Source organism: Homo sapiens, chromosome 5 (assembly GCF_000001405.40).
Source record: "Homo sapiens chromosome 5, GRCh38.p14 Primary Assembly".
Classification (NCBI taxonomy): Eukaryota; Metazoa; Chordata; class Mammalia; order Primates; family Hominidae; genus Homo; species Homo sapiens.
Genome location: NC_000005.10, coordinates 56,219,414 through 56,234,526, shown reverse-complemented (window position 1 = coordinate 56,234,526; position 15,113 = coordinate 56,219,414). Strand labels below are relative to the sequence as shown.

Genomic DNA, 15,113 nt, shown 5'->3' with positions numbered 1-15,113 from the left:
GGACATGGAGTGGACAAAGCAGACAAAGAAAGAGTAGACAAAGACCCTGCCCTTATGAAATGTACCCTCTTGTGGAGAAATATTTTAATTTGGGTTTCCGTAAAAGCAGACCCTGAGACAATGATTCCAATGCAAGTAACTTATTGAGAAGTGCAGGAAATATCAGTAGGAACGTGGGAAAGTAATACAGGGAGGGAACAGCAGCCCATAAAAAGAACGTTATTAGACCTATTCTCACAGGTGGCAGTGGAGTTTAACCCTGAAGGAGTTTAATCCTGAAAGGGAAATGGCAAACGGAGTAAAACACCATGCCTCAGAATCATCCTATCCAAGGGCAAAGGAAGCTGGTGTTTATTATTAGATTCAACAAGCATCTACTATATGGCTATTTGACTTATCCAAAAATCTGGTTGTGCCTAGAATATAGAACTTTGTTTGAATTTAGTATATCATATTTTTATTACAAATACAAGATAATAGATACTGGTTATTAACAAGCCAAAAATACAGAGATTGATACAGAACAAGTTAGAAATCTCCTACTCTAATCACAGTGGCCTGAGGGAACCAATATTAGCAGTTTAGTACGTATCTTTCTACATCTTTTTCAGTGTTCGTCTGAATATATAAAAATAATGTATACAGTGAGTGGTTTCCGGTTTTATTAAAACACGAACAAATGAAATATATAACTTGTTTATTTCATTTAACAATAGATTAGTGACATGTCACCAGATAAATACACAGATTTATTTATGTCAGATTTTTAAATCTAGAGTACGAATTTACTACCATTTACTTAGCTGCTCCCTGAATGAGGTACATTCGGGTGATTTTTCAGGTTTTACTACATGTAATGCTACAATAAACACCCTTGTGACAGCAGACTGTTTTAATTTTATCACCACAGACACTCGAGCCTTGAAATGTCACCTTTCAAATGACGCCTTTCCCCATCCTCCCTGTCAATTGGAGAACGGAGCTGAAAGGGGAGTGAAGAAGACTGCCAACATGGATAATTACTCCACACAGCACATGGCCAGCAGCCTCCTGCTACAATATTTACATCCTATTCCATTGAGATGGCACTCTCTGCTCACATGACCCAAATGCAGTTCTCACTCCGCCAAAAGCACAGCCGAATGCGAACTGCATTGGCAGCTTTGCACATGCTCTGTCTGGCCCTGTGAATCCTCACTCACCCATTCAGATTTCTGTTGGTGTAAAGCGACATTCCAGCTGCTGAAGCTCCGTGATCTGCTGTGTTTTTCCAGCCCAGATCCAAGGCAGGTGGCCCATACAATTTTACTATCTTTTTGGAGTTTGAGTAATTGTGTTTATTGATTTGGGGGTGGAGGGTGTATTATGCCCATGTACAGCTGATGAATGAGGCCATAGAGTAACTCTTTTCCTAGCAGGTATTTACAGGAATAGCATTTACCTATTTTCATCACCTTGCCTTGACAACAACCTGCAGCTCTGATGCACATTTAATCCTGAAACAGAGGTCTTGGCAAACGATGCTGCCTCTGACTGTCATGTTGACAGTAAGGTTTGAGATGGTGTTTTCTCCTCTCTAGAGACCTGGATGCTTTTTGCCATTCTGATGGTAAATGATGAGACAGGCTACCATGGATTTCAGCACCCCTTCTGTGTTTGATCAGCAAAGAGGTAAAATGCTGCTTTAACACATTCTTTGGTTGTTAGCATCCTTAGTCTCATGGTATGGATTTACAGTTGTAAGGAGAGAAAGAGAAGTGTGTGTGTGTGTGTGTGTGTGTTCATGTGCGTGGGTGTGCATGAGTATTTGCTATGTAGGATGTGGAAAGAGGATTTCACCTAGAAAACAAACCTGTTCAAAATGTTCACTTCTAGTTTGATAAGCATCTGAAACAGAAAAATAAGCTTATGATCTGTTGTATAAGCTTATGATCTTGTTGAAGTATTCCTACCTTCAAATTTTAAAAACTGGATTTCAAGCACACCAACTATTTCAGATAGTGTCATCTTTATTCTGTTTTTTCCAAATCTTTTTTAAAAATTAGGGTAAGCAATGTAAGAACACATCACATTTTTTTTGTCATTCGATTAGCCCAGTATCTCATTGCTGTATCTTCGTAAGCATTTTTTTATTCCTTTCAGGAATAGATGTTGCCTGTATTTATGTCGGGTTGATATGTTATCTCATCCAAGGTTGTGTAATGACATATCCCTATGCTATTATTTGCAATGCCAGGGTATATCTTCCTTACTTATAATTTCTGGAGTGGAGGTAATTTTCCACATCAAAATGTTGCTGTGAGATCAACTTATCCTTATAATATCACATATTTGGCCATGTGGTCTATGTGTATACATTTTGCATATGCAATGTGTTTATATACATCTTCGTGTAATACTTATGTGTAATAGTAAATCTTTTTTTAGTATAAACATGAAATTTCCATTTTATAAACATAATAAATATTTTTTAGAATCTTTTCTTAAATATCTATTATTTAAACCACTTTCTACAGTCTCTGAATATTCTTCAAGATCCTAAGTTCCTTTGGTGATTTTATCTGTTTTGGCTACAACATGAAATGGTGGTTTGAAAAAGCCTCATTAAGAAAATGTACTGCTTCATTCTTTTTTCCCTTTTCCTGCTCTAGGCCATAGCATGTTTATTACCCCTCAAGCTACATCTGGCTTTGTGGGTGAATTATTTTAGCCCAGGGGGTTTCTCCAAAAATAAATTTATATTTAGATTCCTGAGTTAGCTAATGTATATATGTGTATAGTGTGTTCTCCAGGTCTTAGCTCATTTGGAATAGTGTTTGTGTATGTGTATGTGTGTGTGTGTGTGTGTGTGTGTGTGTGTGTGTGTGTGTGTGCGCGCCTTCAGAACGTGCCGGCTCATACCGTGTTTGGATCTGAACAGCATAGAGAAAGGCGTTGTCACAGCTGTGCCCACCACCATCCTCTCCTCCTGGTACATTTTATATCACTGATGGCAGTCAGTAAAAGTGAAAATCTGCTAAGAACCAAAGAGCTCACACTGGCTGAAAAATGATGTTGCTAAGCCACGAAACATACAATGGGTTTATTTTTGAAGACTAATTGGAGGGAGCTGGGACTGACTGAAGAAGAACTAGCTCTTCATAATGAATTTACATGTTCCAGTGCTGTACCTTCTAACAGGATTGAGCCCCAAACATAGTTAAGATACAGAATTACAAGACTGATTTTCTTTTAACACCTTTCATGTGAGCAATTCACAGCAATTCCTCCACCTGGGCCGGATTCTCTCCCATGGAAGTTAACCCTCTCCCTGCCATCTTTATCTCTATTTCTCAATCCTTTCTCTCTTTCTAGAGGTTTTATCATATGATGGAAAGAGCATGGGATTTTAAATCTTATAGACGTAGATCAGAATGGCAGATCATCTACTTCTTAGCTGTGTGACCTTGGCAAGTTACCTAACCTCTCTGGGCCTTAGTTTCCCCAGGAATACAATGAAGGAAATGATGCTTACCTAGCAGGGTTGTTGTGAGGATCTAAAATAATAACATATAAAAAGCACCTGTTAGCAATGCCTGATATTCAATAAGTATTTTCCCATTTTGGCTGCAGCTGTTATTATTATTGCTGTTGTTATTATCACCTTGGACTGGGAGTTTCTGAAGTGCAAAAGACTACTCATCTCTCTACCTTCAGCCTGAATGTAGCAGTCCTCAGATCAAATGAGGGCTTAGTGCTGGATGACTAAATTACATTAATTATTTTTTTCAGAACCCTAGGATACCATTTATAGCAAGACCTAGAATAATAATTAACTAAGCCATTCCTGAATAGTTTTATTACCCATTAATCCTTCCTCTTTCTTAAAAGCATGAAAGACCATGAGGGTTGAGACCATTATACAGATTTTAAATACTATATTGTTGGACAAACCAAAGGGAGGTGACTTTCTCGGGAAAAGTTGAACATGGGGCTTTAGTTGAGGGTTTTTCATGAATCGTTACTGTCTGGATAAGTGAACCCTAGCAGTACTGTCTTTACATGCAGATGGGGACAGAAGACATTGCAGCTGGAAGAATCTTAGCAATCAAGTAACCTGTTGGTTCTCACATTGGCTGTACTTAAGAATCATCTGGGCCGGGCGCAAGGCTCACGCCTGTAATCCCAGTGCTTTGGGAGGCCGAGGTGGGCAGATCCCAAGGTCAAGAGATCGAGACCATCCTGGCCAACAGGGTGAAAGCCTGTCTCTACTGAAAATACAAAAATTAGCTGGGCATGGTGACACACGCCTGTAGTCCCAGCTACTCGGGAGGCTGAGGCAGGAAATCGCTTGAACCTGGGAGGTGGAGGTTGCGGTGAGCTGAGATCAGGCCACTGCACTCCAACCTGGCGACAGAGCAAGACTCTGTCTCAAAAAAAAGAAAAAAGAATCATCTGAAGAAATTCTGAAAATGCTGATGCTTGCATCCCACCCAGGGAGATTCCAGTTTAACTGCAGTGGTTGGCCCAACCAACACTCCTTGGGAAGTTCTCATGGACAGCAAAGATGCAGAACCAGTCATCCAACCTACCCCTCTTCCACATTTCAGATGAGGGAACTAAAGCACAGAGAGGTTCAAAGTTGGGTCCTTCCTAATAATAATAACAACACCCCACTAAATAGCAACAGAGGGGACTGAGGCCCAGGTGTTCTCCATCCATACAACAGGGCAATAGGAAGCTTCCTGCACATGGCCAATCCCTGGCCTAGCACTGACTCTGGCTCATGGCTGCCCAGAGAATGGTGGAAGAATATGATGCAGAAGGACCTTCAGGGCTCCAACGAGGTGGGTTTGGTAAGACTGAACCCCTCCACATGCATTTTCCTATATTTCTCTTTAGCTAGAGGCAACGAGGCATGCCAGGGTCTTGGTGACAGATGGTCATTTGCTCAAGTCCTGTCTCTGCCCTCTTCCTAGTTACATGAACTTGCACAAACTAGTTGATCTCCACTGGCTTCTGTCTCCTTGACTGTAAATGTGGATAATACTATATTACATATTCACAGAGCTGCTGGAAGGCCCAACGATCAGATCATTTGACTGGCCAGGGGCATGGTCTCTGGCTGGCTTTGCAAAACTGTGAGGGAGGAAGCCTGGGTCTTCAGAACTCTCGACTCTCTTTTGTGCCTTCAGCTTTCACCATAGCAACATCTCTTCTGGTCCCACGTGTTCTTTCCAGCTGTGTTCCCTCTCAAAGCCCACACACGCAGGAAGCGACCTGTAGTAAAGCCATTTACTACAGAACACAGAGGTTCCTGCTAAAGTCTACATATTATGTAACTGAAGATACTTGCATTGTAAGCTTTGTCACGACTTGTGGAAAGAAAAGTTTTGCTGCGCCTGAAAGAATCCCAAACCTGAGAGAGAAAACAGGGAAAAAAAAAAAAAAAAACAGGCGAGGGGTCGGCGGGAGGTGGGGGGATGGGTAGCCTCAGGGCCTCACCCACTCTTCTGTATTGTTGGGGGTGAGGAGGGCCTGGCCGTGCCAGGGTCTCTGAGGAAATATGCCTGACGAGGCTGAGCGGTGTGTTTGCACACACCTGTGTGGGCTGTGGTCCACCCTCTTGCACAGGTCGTTTCTCTTGTCGAGTTGCTGGAAAAAGAGAGGAAGGGCTTTGTCTTCTAGCCCAGATTAATAGAGTGTGTGATTGTCTCTGTGCTGCTGTAACCAATTATCACAAGCTGGGTAGCTTAAAACAACAGAAATTTATCCTCTCACAGTTCTGGTGCCCAAAAGTCTGAAATCAAGATGTCAGCAGCAGGCCGGGTGCAGTGGCTCATGCCTGTAATCCCAGCAGCTTGGGAAGCCAAGGTGGGCAGATCACCTAGGATCAACAGTTTGAGACCAGCCTGGCCAACATGGTGAAACCCTGTCTCTAGTAAAAATAAAAAATTAGCTGGATGTGGTGTCATGCGCCTGTAGTCCCAGCTACTTGGGAGGCTGAGGCACAAGAATTGCTTGAACTCAGGAGGCGGAGGTTGCAGTGAGCCAAGATCGCGCCACTGCACTCCAGCCTGGGTGACAGAGTAAGACTCCACCTCAAAAAAAAAAAAAAAAGTCAGCTGGGGGCCTTCTCCTAGAACCTTTAGGAAAGAATCTTCCCTGGTCCTTCCAGCCTTGGCTGCTGTGGCCTCATCACTCTGGTCTCTGCCACCATCTTCACTTGGCCTCGTCTGTGTGCATCGCTCCTCTGTGTACCTGTTTCAAAGTTCCTCTGCCTCTCCTTTAAGGATGCATGTGATTGCATTTAGGGACCACCCAGATAATCCAGGATAAACTCCTCCTCTCAAAGTCCTTGGCTTAGTCACATCCTTTCAGATATAAGGTCATAGTCACTCTCTTGCCATGTAAGGGAATAGCCACAGGTTCCAGGATTAGAGGTTAGAACATGTCTTTAGGGCCACCATTCAACCCATTGCAGGGAGTGAGAAGAGGTCAGATCCCAGAAAGCACGCAACACTGTGACTCGGTTTTTGGTAAAATCCATTCTCATTTAAGCTAGGAGAAAAATTGGCAAGTAAGAGGTGGGGGAAGCGGGGAGCATCTGTTTGGTGCAGACTCTGTGCAGGGCTTTACATGGATACATATTGACAAGAGCGAATGTTTATGGAGCATTTAGCAGATCCAGGCTCTGTCCTAAGGACTGCACACAGACTAGCTCATATAATCCTCATATCAGCTTCACATATGACCCCCTTTTATCGATGAGGAAATTCAAAAAGGTTATGACCTACCCAATGTTGTCACAAAGTAAAACAGCAAAGCTAGGATTCCAAGCTAAATCTGTTTCACTTCAAAACCGGTGTTCTTTCTACTGCAGAATGTCTTTTCCTTGGCCAGCAATAAGGTTTAATAAAAAAAAAAAAAGACATCAATGGAAAATCAAATTAATGAAACATTTATTTTCACAATCAAGCTCTTATTCCATTGTGTTGTGGATTTTTAAAGTTCCCACGCACAGATGTGCAGGGGTTTTTTTGTTTGTTTTTTGTTTTCTTTTATACTTTAAGTTCTAGGGTACATATGCACAGTGTGTAGGTTTGTTACATATGTATACATGTGCCATATTGGTATGCTGCACCCATTAACTCGTCATTTACATTAGGTATATCTCCTAATGCTATCCCTCCCCCCTCCCCCTACCCCACAACAGGCCCGGGTGTGTGGTGTTCCCCACCCTGTGTCCAAGTGTTCTCAATGTTCAGTTCTCACCTATGAGTGAGAACATGTGGTGTTTGGTTTTCTGTCCTTGCGATAGTTTGCTCAGAATGATGGCTTCCAGCTTCATCCATGTCCTTACAAAGGACATGAACTCATCCTTTTTTATGGCTGCATAGTATTCCATGGTGTATACATGCCACATTTTCTTAATCCAGTCTATCATCGATGGACATTTGGGTTGGTTCCAAGTCTTTGCTATTGTGAATAGTGCTGCAATAAACATACATGTGCATGTGTCTTTATATCAGCATGATTTATAATCCTTTGGGTATATACCCAGTAATGGGATGGCTGGGTCAAATGGTATTTCTAGTTCTAGATCCTTGACAAATCACCACACTGTCTTCCACAATGGTTGAACTAGTTTACAGTCCCACCAACAGTGTAAAAGTGTTCCTGTTTCTCCACATCCTCTCCAGCACCTGTTGTTTCCTGACTTGTTAATGATTGCCATTCTAACTGGTGTGAGATGGTATCTCATTGTGGTTTTGATTTGCATTTCTTTGATGGCCAGTGATGATGAGCATTTTTTCATGTGTCTGTTGGCTGCATAAATGTCTTCTTTTGAGAAGTGTCTGTTCACACCCTTCACCCACTTTTTGATGGGGTTGTTTGATTTTTTCTTGTAAATTTGTTTAAGTTCTTTGTAGATTATGGATATTAGCCCTTCGTCAGATGAGTAGATTGCAAAAATTTTCTCCCATTCTGCAGGTTGCCTGTTCACTCTGATGGTAGTTTTTTTTTTGCTGTGCAGAAGAAGCTCTCTAGTTTAATTAGATCCCATTTGTCAATTTTGGCTTTTGTTGCCATTGCTTTTGGTGTTTTAGACGTGAAGTCCTTGCCCATGCCTATGTCCTGAATGGTATTGCCTAGGTTTTCTTCTAGGGTTTTTATGGTTTTAGGTCTGACATTTAAGTATTTAATCCATCTTGAATTAATTTTTGTATAAGGTGTAAGGAAGGGATCCAGTGTCAGCTTTCTACATATGGCTAGCCAGTTTTCCCAGCACCATTTAATAAAGAGGGAATCCTTTCCTCATTTCTTGTTTTTGTCAGATTTCTCAAAGATCAGATGGTTTTAGATGTGTGGTATTATTTCTGAGGGCTCTGTTCTGTTCTATTGGTCTATATCTCTGTTTTGGTACCAGTACCATGCTGTTTTGGTTACCGTAGCCTTGTAGTATAGATTGAAGTCAGGTAGCGTGATGCCTCTAGCTTTGTTCTTTTTGCTTAGGATTGTCTTGGCAATGTGGGCTCTTTTTTGGTTTCATATGAACTTTAAAGTAGTTTTTTCCAATTCTGTGAAGAAAGTCATTGGTAGCTTGACGGGGATGGCATTGAATCTATAAATTACCTTGGGCAGTATGGCCATTTTCATATTTATTCTTCCTATCCATGAGCATGGAATGTTCTTCCATTTGTTTGTGTCCTCTTTTATTTTGTTGAGCAGTGGTTTGTAATTCTCCTTGAAGAGGTCCTTCACATCCCTTGTAAGTTGGTTTCCTATGTATTTTATTCTCTTTGAAGCAATTGTGAATGGGAGTTCACTCATGATTTGGCTCTCTGTTTGTCTGTTGTTGGTGTATAAGAATGCTTGTGATTTTTGCACATTGATTTTGTATCCTGAGACTTTGCTGAAGTTGCTTATCAGCTTAAGGAGATTTGGGGCTGAGACGATGGGGTTTTCTAAATATACAATCATGTCATCTGCAAACAGAGACAATTTGACTTCCTGTTTTCCTAATTGAATACTCTTTATTTATTTCTCCTGCCTGATTGCCTTGGCCGGAACTTCCAACACTATGTTGAATAGGAGTGGTGAGAGAGGGCATCCCTGTCTTGTAACAGTTTTCAAAGGGAATGCTTCCAGTTTTTGTCCATTCAGTATGATATTGGCTGTGGGTTTATCATAAATAGCTCTTATTTTTTTGAGATACGTCCCATCAATACCTAATTTATCGAGAGTTTTTAACATGAAGGGCTGTTGAATTTTGTCGAAAGCCTTTTCTGCATCTATTGAGATAATCACGTGGTTTTTGTCTTTGGTTCTGTTTATATGATGGATTACGTTTATTGATTTGTGTATGTTGAAGCAGCCTTGCATCCCAGGGATGAAGCCAACTTGATCATGGTGGATAAGCTTTTTGATGTGCTGCTGGGTTCGGTTTGCCAGTATTTTATTGAGGATTTTTGCATCAATATTCATCAAGGATATTGGTCTAAAATTCTCTTTTTTTGTTGTGTCTCTGCCAGGCTTTGGTATCAGGTTGATGCTGGCCTCATAAAATGAGTTAGGGAGGATTTCCTCTTTTTCTGTTGATTGAAATGGTTTCAGAAGGAATGGTACCAGCTCCTTTTTGTAGCTCTGGTAGAATTCGGCTGTGAATCTGTCTGGTCCTGGACTTTTTTTGGTTGGTAGGCTGTTAATTATTGCCTCAATTTCAGAGCCTATTATTGTCCTATTCAAGGATTCAACTTCTTCCTGGTTTAGTCTTGGGAGGGTGTATGTGTCCAGGAATTTATCCATTTCTTCTAGATTGTCTAGTTTATTTGCGTAGAGGTGTTTATTGTATTCTCTGATGGTAGTTTGTATCTCTGTGGGATCAGTGGTGATATCCCCTTTATCATTTTTTATTGCATCTGTTTGATTCTTCTCTCTTCTTTATTAGTCTTACTAGTGGTCTATCAATTTTGTTGATCTTTTCAAAAAAGCGGCTCCTGGATTCACTGATTTTTTGAAGGGTTTTTTGTGTCTCTATCTCCTTCAGTTCTGCTCTAATCTTAGGTATTTCTTGCCTTCTGCTAGCTTTTGAATGTGTTTGCTCTTGCTTCTCTAGTTCTTTTAGTTGTGATGTTAGGGTGTCAATTTTAGATCTTTCCTGCTTTCTGTTGTGGGCATTTAGTGCTATAAATTTCCCTCTACACACTGCCTTAAATGTGTCCCAGAGATTCTGGTATGTTGTGTCTTTGTTCTCATCAGTTTCAAAGAACATCTTTATTTCTGCCTTCATTTCATTATGTACCCAGTAGTCATTCAGGAGCAGGTTGTCCAGTTTCCATGTAGTTGAGCAGTTTTGAGTGAGTTTCTTAATCCTGAGTTCTAGTTTGATTGCACTGTGGTCTGAGAGACAGTTTGTTATAATTTCTGTTCTTTTACATTTGTTGAGGAGTGCTTTACTTCCAACTATGTGGTCAATTTTGGAATAAGTGCGGTGTGGTGCTGAGAAGAATGTATATTCTGTTGATTTGGGGTGGAGAGTTCTGTAGATGTCTATTAGGTCCGCTTGGTGCAGAGCTGAGTTCAATTCCTGGATATCCTTGTAAACTTTCTGTCTCATGGATCTGTCTAATGTTGACAGTGGGGTGTTAAAGTCTCCCATTATTATTGTGTGGGAGTCTAAGTCTCTTTGTAGTTCTCTAAGGACTTGCTTTATGAATCTAGGTGCTCCTGTATTGGGTGCATATATATTTAGGATAGCTCTTCTTGTTTAATTGATCCCTTTATCATTATGTAATGGCCTTCTTTGTCTCTTCTGATCTTTGTTGGTTTAAAGTCTGTTTTATCAGAGACTAGGATTGCAACCCCTGCCTTTTTTTGTTTTCCATTTGCTTGGTAGATCTTCTTTTGAGCCTATGTGTGTCTCTGCATGTGAGATGGGTCTCCTGAATACAGCACACTGATGGGTCTTGACTCTTTATCCAATTTGGCAGTCTGTGTATTTTAATTGGAGCATTTAGCCCATTTACATTTAAGGTTAATATTGTTATGTGTGAATTTGATCCTGTCATTATGATGTTAGCTGGTTATTTTGCTTGTTAGTTGATGCAGTTTCTTCCTAGCATCAATGGTCTTTACAATTTGTCATGTTTTTGCAGTGGCTGATACCAGTTGTTCCTTTCCATGTTTAGTGCTTCCTTCAGGAGCTCTTTTAGGGCAGGCCTGGTGGTGACAAAATCTCTCAGCATTTGCTTGTCTGCAAAGGATTTTATTTCTCCTTCACTTATGAAGCTTAGTTTGGCTGGATATGAAATTCTGGGTTGAAAATTCTTTTCTTTAAGAATGTTGAATATTGGCCCTCACTCTCTTCTGGCTTGTAGAGTTTCTGCCAAGAGATCATCTATTGGTTTGATGGGCTTCCCTTTGTGGGTAACCCGACCTTTCTCTCTGGCTGCCCTTAACATTTTTTCCTTCATTTCAACTTTGGTGAATCTGACAATTATGTGTCTTGGAGTTGGTCTTCTTGAGGAGTATCTTTGTGGCATTCTCTGTATTTCCTGAATTTGAATGTTGGCCTGCCTTCCTAGGTTGGGGACGTTCTCCTGGATAATATCCTGAAGAGTGTTTTCCAACTTGGTTCCATTCTCCCCGTCACTTTCAGGTACACCAATCAGACGTAGATTTGGTCTTTTCACATAGTCCCATATTTCTTGGAGGCTTTGTTCATTTCTTTTTACTCTTTTTTCTCTAAACTTCTCTTCTGGCTTCATTTCATTCATTTGATCTTCAATCACTGATACCCTTTCTTCCAGTTGATCGAATCAGCTACTGAAGCTTGTGCATGTGTCACATAGTTCTCGTGCCTTGGTTTTCAGCTCCATCAAGTCATTTAAGGTCTTCTCTACGCTATTTATTCAGTTAGCCATTCGTCCAATCTTTTTTCAAGGTTTTTAGCTTCTTTGTGATGGGTTCGAACATCCTCCTTTAGCTCAGAGAAGTTTGTTATTACTGATCTTCTGAAGCCTTTTTCTCTCAACTCATCAAAGTCATTCTCCGTCCAGCTTTGTTTCATTGCTGGCGAGGAGCTGCATTCCTTTGGTGGAGAAGAGGCCCTCTGATTTTTAGAATTTTCAGCTTTTCTGCTCTGGTTTCTCCCAATCTTTGTGGTTTTATCTACCTTTGGTCTTTGATGATGGTGACATACAGATGGGGTTTTGGTGTGGATGTCCTTTCTGTTTCTTAGTTTTCCTTCTAACAGTCATGACCCTCAGCTGCAGGTCTGTTGGTGTTTGCTGGAGGTCCACTCCAGACTCTGTTTGCCTGGGTATCACCAGCGGAGGCTGCAGAACCACAAATATTGCAGAACGGCGAATGTTGCTTCCTGATCCTTCCTCTGGAAGCTTAGTCTCAGAGAGGCACCTGGCTATATGAGGTGTCAGTCAGCCCCTACTGGGAGGTGCCTCCCAGTTAGGCTACTCGGGGGTCAGGGACCCACTTGAGGAGGCAGTCTATCTGTTCTCAGATCTCAAACTCCGTGCTGGGAGAACCACTACTCTCTTCAAAGCTGCCAGACAAGGACGTTTAAGTCTGCAGAAGTTTCTGCTGCCTTTTGTTCAGCTATGCCCTGCCCCCAGAGGTGGAGTCTACAGAGGCAGGCAGGCCTCCTTGAACTGCGGTGGGCTCCACCCAGTTCGAGCTTCCTGGCTGCTTTGTTTACCTACTCAAGCCTCAGCAATGGCACATGCCCTTCCCCCAGCCTCGCTGCTGCCTTGCAGTTTGATCTCAGACTGCTGTGCTAGCAGTGAGCAAGGCTCCGTGGGCATGGGACCCTCCAAGCTAGGCACGGGATATAATCTCCTGGTGTGCCATTTGCTAAGATGGTTGGAAAAGCACAGTATTAGGGTGTGAGTAACCCAATTTTCCAGGTGCCATCTGTCACTGCTTCCCTTGGCTAGGAAAGGGAATTCCCCCACCCCTTGCGCTTCCCGCGTGAGGTGATGCCTCACCCTGCTTCGGCTCATGCTCGGTGGGCTGCATCCACTGTCCTGCACCCACTGTCTGACAAGCCCCAGTGAGATGAACCTGGTACCTCAGTTGGAAATGCAGAAATCACCTGTCTTTTGCGTCACTCACGCTGGGAGCTGTAGACTGGAGCTGTTCCTATTTGGCCATCTTGGAACCTCCCTCAATGTGCAGGTTTTAAATCCAACTGCTCATCTAAAATGGGAATGCTAGACAAAAAGATCTGTGCTTTGCTGAAAAAGCAAAAGTTAAAAATCTGGCATGACAACCAGATGCCTACAAAGGAAGAATAAGCAAATTTTGAATGGTGTTTCAAACAAAGGAGTCCTCTGAAAGGAGTTTTGAAAGGCAAGCATAGGAGATGGGAAAGGAAAGGGAATGATTTGGGCTCAGTTGCTGAGTTCAGGCTCAGAGATCTTGAATGGGAGCCTGGAGTAAACCCAGGAACATTGAGGAGAATTCTGTGATTGATTTTCAGATTGAAGGTCCAGATAAATAAAGACAAGATGCAAACCAGTACTGGTTTAGAAGCAAATTATATGTTGCCTTTGAGAAAGTGCTTAGCCTTCTCCTTCTCTTGGTCAAGAAAGTGGAGAAGAGAGAAAGAGAGATGGGAGAAGAATCTTTTTTTCCTGTTCTTGACCACTCCTGAACAAGTCTAGGCAAGCATGTTTGTTTCAGTGTTTTTTTGTTTTGTTTTGTTTTGTTTTTTGAGATGGAGTCTCACTCTGTCACCCAGGCTGGAGTGCAATGGCATGGTCTTGGCTCACTGCAACCTCTGCCTCCTGGGTTCAAGCAGTTCTCCTGCCTCAGCCTCCTAAGTAGCTGGGATTACAGACGCCCACCATCATGACCATCTAATTTTCGTATTTTTGTAGAGACAGGGTTTCACCTTTTGGCCAGGCTAGTCTTGAACTCCTGACCTCAGGTGATCTGCCTTCCTCGGCCTCCCAAAGTGCTGGAAGTACAGGCGTGAGCCACTGTGCCCCGCCTCTTTCAGTTTTCTTGATCACTCCTGAATAAGTCTAAGTAAGTGTGTTTGACCCCCACCTTTCTCTGCCCCCTTCTTTGTGATGCTGCCTTCTTCCAACCAACCAACTCCTGAGAAAGTGTGTGACAGACCAATCCATTCTGGAGTGTGCTGTGGCCTCCATTTCTTACCCCCTAGGACAGGTTGTGCCCCCAATAACCTGAGCATCCCTTTCCTTCCACCCTTTATGGCTCTTCTTATGGACTCTACAGAAGGAAGCCCCTGGCTGAGCTTATCCAAATAATTACCCTTCACAGCCATCAGTATTCTTCACCACAGGACCACCCAACTGTCCTGGGGGAGGGGGCCTCTTGCCAGAGTATGCATCCCAAGAGGGAGGACCCTTGAGTGGTATCCGGAGAGAATAGAGACTCACTTGGGCAACCACATCTGAATCAACCCTGATGTTTCCCACAACTCATTGGATCAGCTTCAGGAGGCTCTCCCTCAGCTCAGCCTCCGGTGCAGCAGGCAGCTGGGCCACCATGCTGAGCTCTTCCTGTCATCTCTACTCACTAACCCCACAGTGCCAGAACTAAGTAATTGTGCTGGGTACCTGATATTCATGGATTTTCCCTTTGATACCACTATTTTGATACAAGGATATTTTAACCAAAATGGATATGGAATCTAAAAGAAACTACAATAAGCTTGTAGCTGTTTTTTTATTACAAAACAAGCATGAGACAAACATCTCACTCATCACCAAATGTGGGACAAGGTGAGAAGGTGAGGGTATGGATGCACTGAGGTCAAAGGTTCGTGCAAAAGGTGGCATATGGGTGGGGCTAAGACCACTAACCAGGAGTCACATGATTAATGCACTTGTAAATCTCTGTTGGTCATTTAATGCAGGGTCTGCTGAATTGTGTTTGAGAATTCCCTTATATCATGAATGATCTACATGTCAGATTTTCTGATATATCTTTTAAAGTCATGATGGTTTTACCCTAATATTTACCTTCAATCAGTATGTAGGTTTGTGTGCTTAATAAGGGCTCTTTGTTTTCTCTTTGTGAAACCTAAGAAGGGCACTTGCTCATTAATGAGCCTATTCTTATTTTATCAGGTATATTGAGGG

At 42.2% G+C, this 15,113-nt stretch overlaps 1 protein-coding gene across 1 annotated transcript in view; it reads left to right on the top strand.

Moving 5' to 3' along the window:
* Nucleotides 1-1,196: 1,196 nt before the first annotated feature.
* ANKRD55 (ankyrin repeat domain 55) overlaps nucleotides 1,197-15,113 on the top strand; it is a 133,651-nt gene continuing 119,734 nt past the window's right edge. Inside the window, exons 1-2 of the mRNA NM_024669.3 lie at nucleotides 1,197-1,286; nucleotides 1,581-1,671. Of these exons, the coding sequence (NP_078945.2) occupies nucleotides 1,614-1,671 (58 nt within the window). The 5' untranslated portion in view covers nucleotides 1,197-1,286; nucleotides 1,581-1,613. The remainder of the gene's footprint in view (nucleotides 1,287-1,580; nucleotides 1,672-15,113) is intronic.